Raw genomic sequence first — 15,736 nt, 5'->3', positions numbered from 1 at the left:
ATGCTACCTTTTGAAAGTGAGTGCATGAAAAGAATCCAGCCCTTTGCTAAGAAGGTCAGCTCTTGAAAGCCTTCAAGAGCTTTGGTAGCTGAGAAAGCTGGAGGGCTGTAAATCCTTCGTTTCGTTGCTAAGAAGCTTGGCTCCTGAGAATCACATCAGTGCTCTCTAACACAGAAAGCGGAATGTGAATCCTTTGTTCCCTGTCTATGATGTTACACTCCTGAGTACTTGTTTCCTTAGCTAAGAGAACATGCAGGAGAGGCCTATTACGTGAACCTAGAGATTAATTATGAATAGACACAAACTGAGAAAGGCAAAAAGATGTACGGTGTGTGAAGAAAGAAGACTTATTCACAAGAATGCCAGATGGCAAATGCCATTACACTAGAAATATATGCACTGAAATAATATTCACATGGTAACATTTTAAAATATTTTGTAGTTTCAGCATTTTTTTTTACTATGATAAATATCTGTCAAGGAAAATGCCTTCCCCATTGGATTATTCAATGCTCTTACTGAAAGCAAAGAGAAAAACATGAAAGGTCATTGTGCCTTTAAATCAAACTGTGACATATTAGAACTACTCTTCTTTTATTATATAGTCATAGAAACACGTTAAACAACTAGATAAGACATAATTGTTATTGTTCAATAAAATATAAGTACAGTATGTTTTGGATACGCATATAAGGCAAAGTATCTTTTTTTATTTGCACAATTAGATACACACAAATATATTGGTTATGTGACAATTTTTACATTGGCGTATCATAATGAATATCTAAATATTATGATACAGGTGAAAATTGATGTAATAATTTCTGTACATGTTAAGGTAGAGAAATCCATATGGTTACAATACCATCATTAGAATGGCTGAACAATAAAAATTATTGAGTTAATAATAATGTTAGTAATAATAACAATGCCATATATTGACTTACTATGTAGTTCAGGCACTATTATAGGCATCATACATTCATTTATTGTATCATAATCCGCAGTAAAATATCATGAGTTTGGTACTACTATGGATTTCATTTTACAGAACTGACACAGAGAGTTTGAGTAATTTGTTCATGATCAAACATAAGGTAAGTGGCGGAGCTGAGATCTGAATCCTTGCCACCATCAAAAATATTATTTAGAGAGAGTACAACCAGGCTGTTGGCATTCTATGAGTAGTGGCTTAGACATAGAAAACAGTGATAGTCATTCTATTTGTCATTTCTATATATCTTATAAAACAATGTTCCATTCTTTAATTGTTTTGATCTTCATAACTCTTTTGTAAGTGAAGATAGTATATTATATAGCTGAAAACACTAATGTTCAGGGGCAATAAGTGATTTTTCCAATATCATATGTTTAGTGAGTGGCATAGTATGAACCAGAACCAGCTTCTACTATTTGTCTCACTTTAATAGCTTATTTTTTTCTTTTTATAAACAATACAATATTGCAAAAAGCTATCAACCCAAGTGATGATAGAATGCCACAATAATAGCTAATAAATATAAGTATTAATAAGCAATGAATTTACTTGCTCAACGACTATTCCTTCCTAGTGACTACTGGCAACAGAAACAGCATTTTTTTCTGACTCAGAAATTTGCAGCCATTTTCACTCTCTCCCTAAACCCAGTTAGTAAATTGTGATTGTTCTTTAATGTGTAATTTAAATCAGTTATTTTTCTTTCAGTTTCTACTATTAGTAAAATAGCTACTCATAAACCTCATGCCTGGATAACTGCAAAATCCTCCTACCTATTTTCACTGGGTCTCTCCATTACAGCCAAACCTCAAAATTATAATTAATCTCTAATTCAAGACAAAGAAAAAATAACCCAGTCGGGTAACTATGGTTAACTCTTAAACTCTCTGCACCTTACAGTTCTCTTTGAAATAATGGTACTCACTCATGGGTCCTTATAGTGTCTAAATGAATTGTTACATGTAAAATAATAGAAAGAGTGTCTCACACATAATAAGCACTCAATATATGTTACTTTTTATTATTATTAGATTCATTGATTTTGTTCATTTACATCTTAAAATAACTAGATTTGAAATGTTCCCAACATAAAGAAATAATAAGTGTCCAAAGTGATGAGTATTCTAAATTCTGATTTAATCATTACACATTGTGTACATGTATGAAATATCACATATACCCCACAAATATGTACAAATACTATGTATGAATAACGAAAAGAATATATCTTGAAGATTCTTGCTGTTCCATTTTCAAAAGCTTGGATATAAAAAAAAAAAAACATTATTTGAAGATTAGGCAGTCAAGAACCTGAACTCTAACTCTGCTCTTACCAGCCATGTGGCATTGAGCAAGTAAGTGCTGCTTAAACGCTCTGCAGCATTTTTATAATTCTCTTTCAAATACTGGTACTTACTCATAGGTCCTTATACTGTCTAAATGAATTGTTACATGTAAGATAATAGGAAGAGTGTCTCACACATAATAGGCACTCAATAAATGTTGCTTGTTATTATTATCAGATCCACTAATTTTGTTCATTTATAAAATACTTAGAGGAGCTGTACGGTTAGATGCATCTTCCTGCCTGCCAGTCTTAGGTTTGAGTTCTGCCTGCCTCTTTTGGCAGCTGTGTGACCTTGAAAAATTTGCTTGATGTCTCCAAATCCCTGGTTCTTTATCTTTAAAGTAAATTTTAATTAAAATATCTCCTGTGAAAATTAAATAAGGTAGTAAATATATAGCATTTAGCACTAGATGTGGCTGATGATACATGGTCAATACTTGTTAACTATTTCATTATTTTTATTGATGCTGTGTGATGAAGAGGTTGTTATAAGAAACAACCATATGCCATATTCTACGTAATCATTACCAGGAAAATTTTTCAATGCATCATGGTATCTGACAAATTGAAAGCCACCTGAGAATTTTTTTTCACGAAACATAATACCAAGAAAAACTACGCTACTTCTCCTTTAAAGAAAATCTTATAAACATAACCAGTTTTATAAATAATCATATTTCCCTTTAACTTTGTTTGCTCTAACTTAAGCAAACAAAAAGCCAAATAAATGTGGAATCTGAATTCAGCAAATGAACAAAATCTGTTAAAATACATTTGTTTTCTAAACTTATTATTGGCTTATTGGCTTCTTTCTACTTTTCTACCTTAATATGTGTTTTTCTCAAACCTGTTTGTCTATTGATAAAATGAGGGTACACGATTTTACTCTTGTATTTCTCCTTAAACTACAATTAGATCAGAATACACTTTTTGTTTGCAAATAGATTAAATTCCAAAAGTTCTTTACAAATTTAAAATAAATTTTTTTCCATCTATTCAGTTGGAAGTAATAATGATTTTCCCCATATGGAAAAGTTTCATGGGCTGATTTCTGCACCCCTTGTCCCCTTGGCAAGTTCAAAAAAACTCATTTAATACACGTTGTACAAATGTGATACGTGATGCTTTCGCAATGGAAATAGTGGAAGCCAATGTGGAGAGGGCTGTGGTGCTGCTGAAGTGAAAAATGATTGCCCTGTGCAGCCTGGTGTCACTGGCTTTATGAGTATTAATGCCATTTTCTCCAATATCTGGTAGCAAAATTCCTGTTTTTCCTAAGATGGCTCATCATAGACTATAGACATATGCTAAGTTCTGGGACTCCAATGTGAATGAGAAAATTTTTTTTAAAAGAATTTGACAGAAACGAAAGTTAACCTATCAAGTAAGGACTCACTTTTTTGTTGTTTCTTTTTCGTTTTGAATGAGAGAATATTATTTATATTGAAAACTCAGAAATCAGCTCCAAGAAAATCTGTTTTCTCTTGGCAAGTGAGAAATTGGGCTCACGTTGTTTATTTAAAGATAAAATTTGTTTTTATTTCTTGTAATTAACTTGATTGATTATGCTTTCTATTTATTACAACATAGCCACCATATAATCTTTTCCATTTTATGACTTCAGCCAGTTCTAGGGAAAAATGATTGTTATTTGAGATCACTTTCTCTGCCATTGCATTCTGGTCTGTCTCTTATTAAAAGCCAAATATTTTCGTTCACGGTAATGGGAACTATTACTGCTGATAGTTTCCTTTGTTTTTTTGATTGTTATCATTAAATGAAAAACTTGAACTTTTACACTCTGTAGAAAAAAATATAAACACCTACCTAGTTATTGCACAGTTACTTTTCACTTAATGGAATGGATAAACTCCAGTAAGCCTAGTTGAAATACTTCCCACTGATTCTCATCATAAATCAGAAACTTATTCCCATGCTGGGGGAGAAAAGCACCAAATTCTACCCAGTTCAAATCAGCAAATATTTATTGAGCACTTACTTCACCTAAGATATTGTGCTGAGCACTGCATGGCATACACAGAAGAAGACGACCTTGGCACTGCTCTCAAGTTATTAATCATCACCCTAGAAGGAATAGTTAGTATGCAAATATGTCTAATTCAAGAGGAATACAAAGGTGTTAAAAGATATAAACAATATATTATGTGACTTCAGATAAAAGTGATATCATACCCTGCTTTAGGAAAACAAAAAAGGCTTTGTGGCTTTTTGACTATTGGAGGAGAGCAGAGGGGGTTCTAGACAGAGTAAAACATCTAAGAAAAGACAGGGAGTTAGGAACGCATGGGTCTCTTTATGGACTAAGCTCACATTGAACAAAACATGGTATATGTGTATAGGAATACTAGGACATAGAGATTTGCAGATATTTCCATCTTAAATGATGAGTTAAGATAAATTGTATCTGGTTCAATAAGTATTTGGGACCAAAGAAGGCTTTTGAGCTAAAGAATAAAATAAACCGAGACTGCTGAAGTCATACAAAATGGTTCAGGTAAGAGAACACTCAGACAGGGTTTTATTATTGCAAACTGCCAATTTCTTCTCCTTTAGCACAGGTAATACTCTGGGATTACCTCCTGACATCCCTGGTAAGTAATTATTAAAAGATGATAGCAGAAGAATTTCTCTGAATGTTGATAAAAGAACATAGCAGAATACAATATGTTCAGTGGTGGTGGGCCGTAGGGGGAGACAAAGTGAAATGAACAAAAATGCCACAATAAATACACATTTGATTTCCAAGACATATTATTAAGTAAAAAATCATGGTGTAGAACAATCCATGTACTTTCCTCCCATTTATGTAACAAACAACCCCTCCCTCCCCAAAATTAAAACCTGAAAAGTGAAGCTTATACAGATATTGAAAAAATTGGGGGAAAGGTTTTACTTTACAAAACCATCCTAGTTGTTATATTTCAGGAGAAGTAGGCTGAGATTCTCAGGTAGGAGGGAGCCATATATGAATTACTACCACGTATCATCAAAATTGGGTTAAAAATAAAGAGTATCTTTGACTTGATGAAAAGCGGGGTATTTTAATTTGGATTGACCCTGTGCATTTATTTCTCAGTAAAGAGAACCATACTAGCTAATGAATAAGGAAATATTGTAGGCTTTTGCTAGAAGCCAAGACTATCAAGATGACTTCTTCAGGAGTAGGTTTATGACCAATATATAGAAAATCTAGATCTGTTTTGTTCATTTGAAATATCAATTGAAGAGTTAGATATTTAGCCATACTTACTTTATTTTTCTGTCAGAATTAAGCAAATTAAAATGTATAATGAGACATGGAAAGGAAGAAGGAGAGTAGAGGAGAAGGAGGGAGAAACAGAAATGTAGCAGTAGTCAAATGACGACTTCAAACTCTAACAGCATGGGCCTCAAAGGCCGTGAAAGAAGGCTAATACAGTGGGCCCCAGAACTTTGCTCCTGTACATCATGACTTGAACGTGGAAGATGGTAACTCAGCCTTTGGGATTATTTTAGAGTTCATCAGTAAGGCCAATGCTAAAAGTATTTAGCATGCAAGGGAGTAGTTCACAATACCTAAAATATAATATTAATATAATGAATAAAAATAATGTTGAGAACTTCAGGTTGAATTATTAAACCTGTGTACAACAGATGAAATTCAATTTACCTAATTTTAAAATCATAACTATACTTTGTGGGGGCGAGGGCTGTTATTATTCCATCTGATTAACGAGAAGAATAAATTTGAGAGATACTCTTAAGGTCCCAGATTTGACTGGCTTCAAATACATTAAGCTCTAAGCAGACAGAAAAGATAGTTAGGTTTCAATAAAACCTATTTTTGAGGAAAGGAGGTAGAAATGTGAATGCCTGTGGGACTGAATAGGTAAAGCTCTTTTAGGTGCTTTGCAGTGGACTAATGGACCCAATGTAGGAAGCAGCTCTTCAGGCAACAGTAATAGAAGGGAAGAAAGAATGACATTCTCAAGAACTGAGGATACATCATGTTAATGTACAAAGTATACCACTGCCAGTTAGGATTAAGTGGGTTATACAATTATTTTTTTCTTATGTTGTGCTTGAATCAAACTGACTTACAGTGTTAAAGGAACAGGTTACATCTTTGAGTGTTCTGTTTTTCTAGGCTGAAGCAACTGGAAGTCATTGCCTTTCAAGTTACCCCAGGGTTCCTGGCACTGTCACATGTCTGGCTCTAGGTTATAGGAGAATAATCTGTTAACAATACCTAGCCAGCAATAGTCCCTGGAATCAACAATGATAGTAGTTCAGAGTTCTCTTTCAGTATCCCATTAGTCAATTTGAGTATCAAGATGGGAAGTATCATGGGACATAGTAATAACGAGGTAATGAGGATAATAACGTGGCTCTCTCCCACAAATCTTCCCTGTCCTCTGTTGATGTCACTCATTGCATGGATAATCATTCCATTCTTATCCAGCTTCTCCTTTTTGGGAAGATGGGTATAAAATATCAGGGGAAAAGGATAAATAGGTGTATAATCCACATCCTGGAACAGAAATTTTCCTATGCCTTCCAGTGGTCCTCTAATATGTGAAATTTCCCCCCCCCAAAAAAGTCTAGAATTATCCTTCCTAACAAGAACAGATGCTTCAGCAGGAAAGTGTAAGCTCTTTCTATTAAACTGTTCAGGACCTATATTTCTGACCAAGACAGGAATAACAGGGATTGGGTATATTCTCCCTCAGGAAACAACCAAAATCAGCAACAAAGCTGTGAAACAGTCGTTTTCAAGAAACTGCACTACAGACAATAAAGGACAGTGGTCCCGGCAAGATGTAAAACAGAGGAGGCAACCTCCATGACTGCATTAGCTTAGTGCCTTGAGAGTTTCCAGGCACTAAGCTGATGCAATGTGCAATGTTCCTGCTGATTAGGGAGGGGTATCGAGGTGAAGCTTGAAGGACTCCCTGAATTGAGGTAGAGGTGAGCGCTGTGGGAGATCCAGGTGGCTAGAGTTTGGAGGACAGGAGACTGCACAAAAAGAGAATATATAGATCTGTAGACAGTCGCCAATAAGCCTTCAGCAGAGTACTGACCAGTGCGCGGACATGAAGAAACTATATGGGGTCGAGGGGAAATAAAACACATCCAAAATGATTGGAGGGAACTTTGTCTGGAGTTTACACAGGGCCAAGAGTAGTGCCTGTTCTTACCAGCCAAACTGAAAGACCTCATTAGTCACTGGTCATTGGTAGAATCATCAGAAGGGGTCTGCCTTAGTAGAGAGGAATTATTATTTTTGAACGTACCTAAGGAATTTTCACAGCAAGACCCAAAAGGATAAAACTGTTTTCAAATGATTTATCTTGAGAAAAAGCTCAAGAAGATTTACAGGAATACAAAATATCCAGCATCCAAAAGAGTAAAATTTTTGTTTAAACAGCCAATTATCTTTTAAACACATTTAAATAATAATTTAAAAATCTTATGCATTTATCCAAGTAGTTACCGTTTCTTCATTATGTCATGTTCATTTATTGCTTAAGCTTCGTATTCCTTTATTGAGAATTTTTATTATATGTTGAATGTCATTTTTGACCAACTAATATATTTTATCAACAAAACCTTATTGAAGTATAATTGACATACAAAGAGTTCTACATATTTAACACATAGAACTTGATGAATTTGGAGATAAGTATCCATAAAATCATCACCACAGTCTGTGCCATTAACATATCTTTTAACCCTAAAAGTTTCTTCCACCCTATTTAATAAATATCATTATTTGACACTTACATAAGATTTACCCTCTTAGAAAGTTTTTAGGTATACAAAATGGTTAACTACAAGCATTATGCTGTAGAATAGATCTCCAGATCTTATTTACCTTGCATAACTGAAGCCCTGTACCCTTTGACTACTACCTCCCCATTTCCCTCTTCCCCTTCCGCTGGAAGCCACCTTTCTACTCTCTGCTTCTAAGAGTTCCAATATTTAAAATTCTTCATATAATTGTCAAATAATTCCTCATATTTGTCCTTCTGTATCTGGCTTATTTTATGTAGCATAATATCCTCCACATTCACCATGTTGTTTCAAATGGCAGAATTTCCTTCTTTTTAAAGGCTGAATAACATTCCATTGTTTGTATATGCTACATTTTCTTTGTCCATTTATCTATCAATGGACATTTAAGGACATTTAAGGTTAATGTGAATGATGCTTCAATGAAAATGGGAGTGTAGAAACTTTTTGAGATGCTGGTTTTAGTTTTTTTGGATTGTGAAAGGAGAGTAAACCTTGGGACTGAAAAATCACCAAGCCAAAGGGAAAAGTTAAGCTGGGAACTTCATTGGGCAAACCTGCCTCTCATTCCATTCCTAAATAAGATAGCTACAAAGATAAAACTGCTACATACCTCCCTCACAATTTGCCCACAAGGAAATTCCTTGTGGGTGAAGGACAGACAGAACTCAAAGTGATCTCTCTGCACACGAGACAAATGCATATCTGATTGCTTCTTTTGCCCTATTGTTTCACTAAGCCAGACTGAGTGATAAGTGACTATGCCGGTAAATTGCATATTCAATGAAAGGCTAACCAGAAACTCAAAAGAATGCAACCATTTGTCTCTTATCTACCTATGACCTGGAAGCCCCCTCCCCACTTAGGGTTGTCTCACCTTTCCAGACCAAATTAATGTACATCTTACATATATTGATTGATGTCTCATGCCTCCCTAAAATGTATAAAACCAAGATGTGCCCCAACCACCTTGGGCACATGTCGTCAGGACTTCCTGAGGCTGTGTCGTGAGTGTGTCCATGCGCTCCTTGGCAAAATGCACTTTCTACATTGACTGAGACCTGTCTCAGATATTTGGGGTTCACAGGATACATATTCAGAAGTGGGACTGGATCATATAGAAGTTCTATTTTTAATTTTTGGAGGATCCCTCATACTGTTTTCCAGAGTGACTGCACTAATTTACATTCCCATCAACATGTACAAGTGTTTCTTTTTCTCGACATCCTTGCCAACTCTTGTTATCTTTTGGGTTTATTTATTTTTGTTTTTATTTTTGTTGTTGTTGTTGTTGTTGAGAGGGAGTGTCGCTCGTGTTGCCCAGGCTGGAGTGCAGTGGCTTGAACTCGGCTCATTGCAACCTCTGCCTCCTGGGTTCAAATGATTCCCTGCCTCAGCCTCCCGAGTAGCTGGGATAATAGGCGCCCACCACCGTGCCCAGCTAATTTTTTTGCATTTTTAGTAGAGATGAGGTTTCACCGTGTTGGCCAGGCTTGTCTTGAACTCCTGACCTCAGGTAATCTACCCACCTGCGCTTCCCAAAGTACTGGGATTACAGGCATGAGGCACCACACCCAGCCATTTATTTTCTCTTATACTGGCCATCCTAACAGATATGAGGTGGTATCTCATTGTTGTTTTGATATACATTTCCCTGATGATAATGATATTGATGCCTTTTCATAAGCTTGTTGGTCATTGGTATGTCTTGTTTTGGAAAATGTCTATACAATTATTTTGCCCATTTTAAAATTGAGATTTATTGCTTTTGAGATGTAGGAGTTCCTTATATTTCTGAATATTAACCCTTTACCAGACACATAGTTTGCAAATATTTTCTTTTATTTCATAGGTCGACTTTTTATTATGTGGATTGTTTCTTCCACTCTCCAGAAACATTTTAATTGAATGCAATCCTGCTTGATTATTTTTGCTTTGTTGCCTTTGCTTTAAGCATCATATCCAAACAATTATTCCTAAGACCAATGTCAAGAAGATTTTCCTCTATGTTTCCTTTTAGGAGCTTTATAATTTCAGGTCCTGTGTTTAATCTTTAACCATTATGAGTTAATTTTTGTGTACCATGAAAGACAAGAGTTCGTTTTTTTTTTTTCTTTTTTGCATGTAGATATCCAGTTTTCCCAATACTTCTTGTTGAAGAAAGTATCCTTTCTCTATTGTATATTCTTGGCAACCTTGTTTAAGATCAACTGACCATATATCCCTAGTTTTGTTTCTGGGCTCACTTGTTTTGTCTATCTTTATGCCAGTACCACAGAGTTTTCATTACTGTAGTTTTCTAATGTATTTTGAAAGTAGTACATGGATTCCTCCAGCTTTGTTCTTGATCAAACTTTCTTTTGACTGTTTGAGGTCTTTTGTGGTTTGCAATTAATTTTATGATTTTCTCTTTTTTGTAAAAAATGCCAAAAGGATTTTGATAGAGATTGCATTAAATCTGTAGACCAGTTTGGGTAGTATGAATATTTAATTAACAATACTAATTTTTTTCGAACCCTAACCATGAGATTCCTATTTTATTTGTGTCTGCTTGAATTTCTTTCATGAACGTTTTATAGGTGTCAGTGTACAAAACTCTTTCAGCTCCTCGGTTAAGTTTATTCCTAAGCATTTTATTATTTTAGGTGCTATGGTAAATGGGATGGTTTTCTAAATTTTTTTCAGATATTTTGCTGTTAGTGTATAGAAACACTGCTCATTTTTATATGCTGATTTTGTGTACTCCAACTTTACTGAATTTGTTTATTAATTCTAATAGGTTTTTTTGCATGGAGTCTTGTGAGTTTTCTACATCTAAGTTCATGTCATCTGAAAACAAAGATAATTTTACTTCTTATTTTCTGATTTGGATGCCTTTTATTTCTTTTTCTTGCCTAATTTATCTGGCAAAGACATCACACCAACAGAACAAAGGATTCAAAAATCATATGACCATCATAATAGATGCCGGAAAGCATTTGGTGAAATTCAACAACATTTCATAATAAAAGCTCAAAAATTCTTAGATATAGAGTGAAATTTTGTCAATACAATAAAGACCATCTATATGAAAAGTCCACAGTTAAACATCATATTCAGTAGTGAAAATAAAAAACTTTTAGTTTAAGATCTGGAGCAAGGCAAGGATGCTCTCCATCTCTTGCTATTTCTATTCAATGTAGAGCTCATTTCTTTGCAGTGTTTAATTGCATCAATCCTTTCCACAATATTTTTGCATATAGACATTGGAGTTTTCATATTTATAAGAAGTTCTATTTTTATATTTTTATATCTTTGTTGTCTCTACTCAACTTTTTGAATGTACAAAATGCACTTACAGTGACAATACCATTTACAAAGACAATCTGAAATAACTAGGAATAAATCTGACAAAGTTTTTTTTTCAGTTTTCAATGCACATTTAAACACTTATTTATAACCAAATAACCTACTAAAAATTTAGCAAAATATTTGAACATTTTACCAAAGAATGTATGCCCATTGAAAATAAGCACATGAAAGATGCTCTACATCATTAGTTATCAGGTAAATTCAAATTAAAACCACAATGAAATACTGCTACACTTCTTCTAGATGATATACTTAAATAGATCGACAATATCAAATGCTATTGAGAATGTGAAAGAGCTACAATTTTCACGTACTGCTGATAGAAATGTAAAATAATACAAACACTTTGGGGAAAAAAATTAGAAGTTTCAAAAATATTAGGCACATATATACCATATAAATTATCAATTCCAGTCCTAATTATTTACCCAAAGGAAAATAAAGCCTATATCCATAGAAAAATTTATACCTAAATGCTCATAGCTTCTTTGTTTAGAATAGTCAAAAATGAAAACAACCCAAATGTCCATCAATAAATGAATGGGTAAACAAATTGGTATATTTAAATAACAGAATACTACTCAGCAATAAGAAGGATTGAACTCAATATATGCAACAACATGAATGAATCTCACAACATGTATAGAGTCAAAGAACTAGATATAAAAGAGTACATAATATGTACTTGTATTTATGTAAATCTCCAGATTGATATATGTACATAGGTATATCAGTGTAATCCAATTGATAGTGACAGAAAACAAATCGGTAGTTACTTGGGATAGGGAGTTGGGGGAGATCACAAAGGGACATGGGAAACTTCTAGGAGTTATGGATACGTTCACTATCTTGAATGTAATGTTCATTTTGCAGTTATATACCTATGTCAAACTTATTAAATTGAATTGCACATGTAAATTTCAATTATATCTCCAAATATATTAAACAAAGTCAATAAAACTTAAAAATAAATGTTTTTAAGATTCCAAAGTCAAATCTTGAAGAAAAGTATCTTCCAGTGATTTTTATTGTGGTCTACTACTCAACATTTGTGGAGATACGGAAGGTAACCCTTGTCCATACTGGTTTGCCTGCTTTTGTTCCGACTACTCCCTGCTTTTGACATATCCTCCTTTTATCCTCAGCTTATTGTCAAAATCACGGTTTTCTATAACCCATTTCAAAGGCTGCTTCTTCCATGAAGCTTTCATTGTTCTCCCAAACTAGAAATTATGTATTTTGCTTATGAATCTTCGTAAGCCTCTAGTATGTATCTCTCTGATTATATTTATATTTTATCCCTTCTTCACAGTCTTAAAAGTCACTTTTTTTGTAGCTAAGACCCTTTGAATCACTGAGATAATTTGAAATGCATAGTTTAGCTTATATAAACTGGGTATTTTTTTTTATCTTGATACTGAGAACCCTGGGGAGTAAGCTTGTAATATTTCTGGCTTTTAAAGTATGACTTCTGACTTAGGTATTTTCCACAGTACATTCCCTTCCCGATTTTAGCGTTCTCTGAACATCACATGAGAGGAAGTAGAAAGTACATATAATGGAAACTTTATGCTACTTTAACCATTGCCATGAATTCTAAGATAGTTATTTTCAGATAGTCCTTCTAATTTATTTCCTCTAAGCTATTTGCACTGTGTGACACACTCTCATTAAATCCTCTCCCCAATCACAACGGTGGTTACTAATATGATCAGTAATATGATTTCATCTCACAAATGATGAGAATGTAGCATCTGGGGTTTTTTAAGTAACCTGGCCAAGTTACCTAACTACCAAGTGAGGAAGCTAGCACTGGTTGCTATTTACCTCTGACTTCAACTCAGTAATGTTATGTCAGTTTTCTGGCATATAAAATGAAACAGAAAAGGCCAAATACTCTAAGGTTAAGGAAATTAGAGTGCTCGTGTGTGTGTGTGTATGTGTGTGTGCATGCGTGCACGTGAGCGTGCCCGCGTAGGGGTGCAGGAGTAATCTATTTTAATCAACATCAAAATGCAAAAGTATCACCTAATAATTTTACTCAGGTTACTGGTGATTTTAATGGAGAATCCAAACCAGGCTTGCCAGTTCAAGTTAATTATTTTCATTTAAAAACAAAATTAGACCACATAATTTTTCCCTGCAATATCATCTAATACCTCATCTGTGCTCACTTTTTCTGAATTGTTTTAAAGTTATCTTCTTATAGTTGGTTTGTTCAGATTAGGATATAAACAAATTCCACACATATTGTTGATGTCTAAGTGTCTTCTAATGATCATAACAGTTCCTCCATTTTCATGACATTTATTTTTAAGAAAATGAGTCATTGATTATTATCTTTTTAAAGTCTCCGCAATACCTCTTAAATTATGTAACAGGGCTATTATATCACATATACATTATGGGCAAAGGCTAGTCTTATATAACGTTGAACATATCTTAGGACTCAACTAAGAGTTTTGCACGTAGTAAGTACCCAAATTACTGAAGTGAATTGAATTGGGGTCTAAAGAATCACTGACAATTAGTCCTTAAAATCAAAGTGTGGACACACCTATTTCTACCTTCACCTAAACATGAAGCCATGGACACTATGCTCTAGTGTTCACTTGAAAGAACTCTTGTTACACCCAATGCCTGTTGTTCATTTCAATGTCAACATTCTTAGGAGGCCTGAGAATTTTCTGTGTTTCTAATGCAGATATGCACACGCACACATATACATTCTTGCACAATACACACAGACAAAAACAAAATCCTGAGCCACTGCATATTACATTTTCACTTCACTGAAGTTCATAACTGATTGACTCTCTCCATCTGTGAGAGAGAATTTAATTTCCTTTTAATTTATTTTTCCCTTGGTCAGCACTTTCCAATTTCAGTGCATGTAATAGCAAATGCTGCTTTGACTGAATGAGAGACTAAGAATTAGATGTGGTCTGTGATACATAAACCAGTTTCTTTTATCCCAAAGGAAACTAAAAGTACTAATGTTTCTCAACCAGTTGGTAGGGACTGTTATTTAAATTCAAATTAAAGAAAAACAAGTTTTCTGTACATTGCAAGCAATTCAGATCAGAGAGGATACTGAAGCAGATCTCTGACTACCATGTCGTTGGGTGCCTTTCAGAGAGCAAAGATGTAGTTAATGTGGTAGCCTCCGCTTTTCCAATAATGAAGCATATCAGCTTTGTCTGGAGATTGACTTCCTAATTACTCAGGCCCTAAATAATGCAAGCCATGTTCTCTTTTATTAGCTAATATCTTTCAGAGGCTGGAAAGATGGTTATAAAGCCAATTAAAGATATAGTTTTCTGGCATGCTGGACCAATTCATAACATGCACAATATGAAATGCCATGTGAGAAAGTCATTATCAGAATATTCTGCCCTAGTTTATATTAGTTTTTAATTTTTTCCTTCCCTTTGTATCACATTTGATACAAAGCCTTTGATGGTGATGTTGTAACTCTTGTTCAATAACGAGAAATTCTAATTCCATAAAATTCCTTGATACCACATTAACCTTGCATCAGATAAACAAGTACATTGGGAACTGTGGCTAATACGACTGAATATGAATATAATGCATTGTATTTGAATAGAAACAGAAGAAAGTGAGTACAGAAGCAGCTTAAGTAATAGATATCCTTGTTACATAAAAATGTATTCGTTTAATACATCTGTTCCATTAACAAGTGTTTACTGGAGAAAAATCTGTTGTTTTATGTACATAGAGATGCTATGCTGCTTTAAACAATTCTGGTTTATTAATACTGACATTAATTTAGTAATTTATGTTTTTCAGTATTTTGGAAGATATTTTTTCATTTAGTAGATAAGACTAAATAACAATATTTCTATTATAATTCCAAAACTGTAACAGTGATTTAGAAGACTGTATTTAATTTCATTAAAACTTTCCAAGGTAACTTTTCTATTCATGTACTTTTAGAGTTAATGTGAATACAAGTAAAATACACATGGCAGATTAAATAATGACCCTACAAATATATTCATGCTCTAGTCCTTGGAATCTGTAAATATTATTTTATATTAGAAAAGGAACTTTGTAGATGCTGTTCAAGTATGATTTGGGGATGGGAAGATTAACCTGTACTATCCAGGTGGGCCCAGTATCTTCACAGTGGTCCTTATAAGAGGGAGGTAGGGGGTGTCAGAGTCAGAGAAGAAGGCAATGTGATACCAAATTAGAGAATACAGTGAGATACTTTTTGAAAA

At 34.1% G+C, this 15,736-nt stretch overlaps 1 long non-coding RNA gene across 1 annotated transcript in view; it reads left to right on the top strand.

Annotated features, from left to right (window-relative positions):
* Positions 1 to 1,048: 1,048 nt before the first annotated feature.
* The window catches only part of LOC105375996 (uncharacterized), a 28,178-nt gene continuing 13,490 nt past the window's right edge, over positions 1,049 to 15,736 (top strand). Inside the window, exon 1 of the long non-coding RNA XR_929525.3 lies at positions 1,049 to 1,097. This is a non-coding gene — a long non-coding RNA (uncharacterized LOC105375996). The remainder of the gene's footprint in view (positions 1,098 to 15,736) is intronic.

Source organism: Homo sapiens, chromosome 9, assembly GCF_000001405.40.
Source record: "Homo sapiens chromosome 9, GRCh38.p14 Primary Assembly".
Lineage (NCBI taxonomy): Eukaryota > Metazoa > Chordata > Mammalia > Primates > Hominidae > Homo > Homo sapiens.
This window is presented reverse-complemented; position numbering and strand designations above follow the sequence as displayed.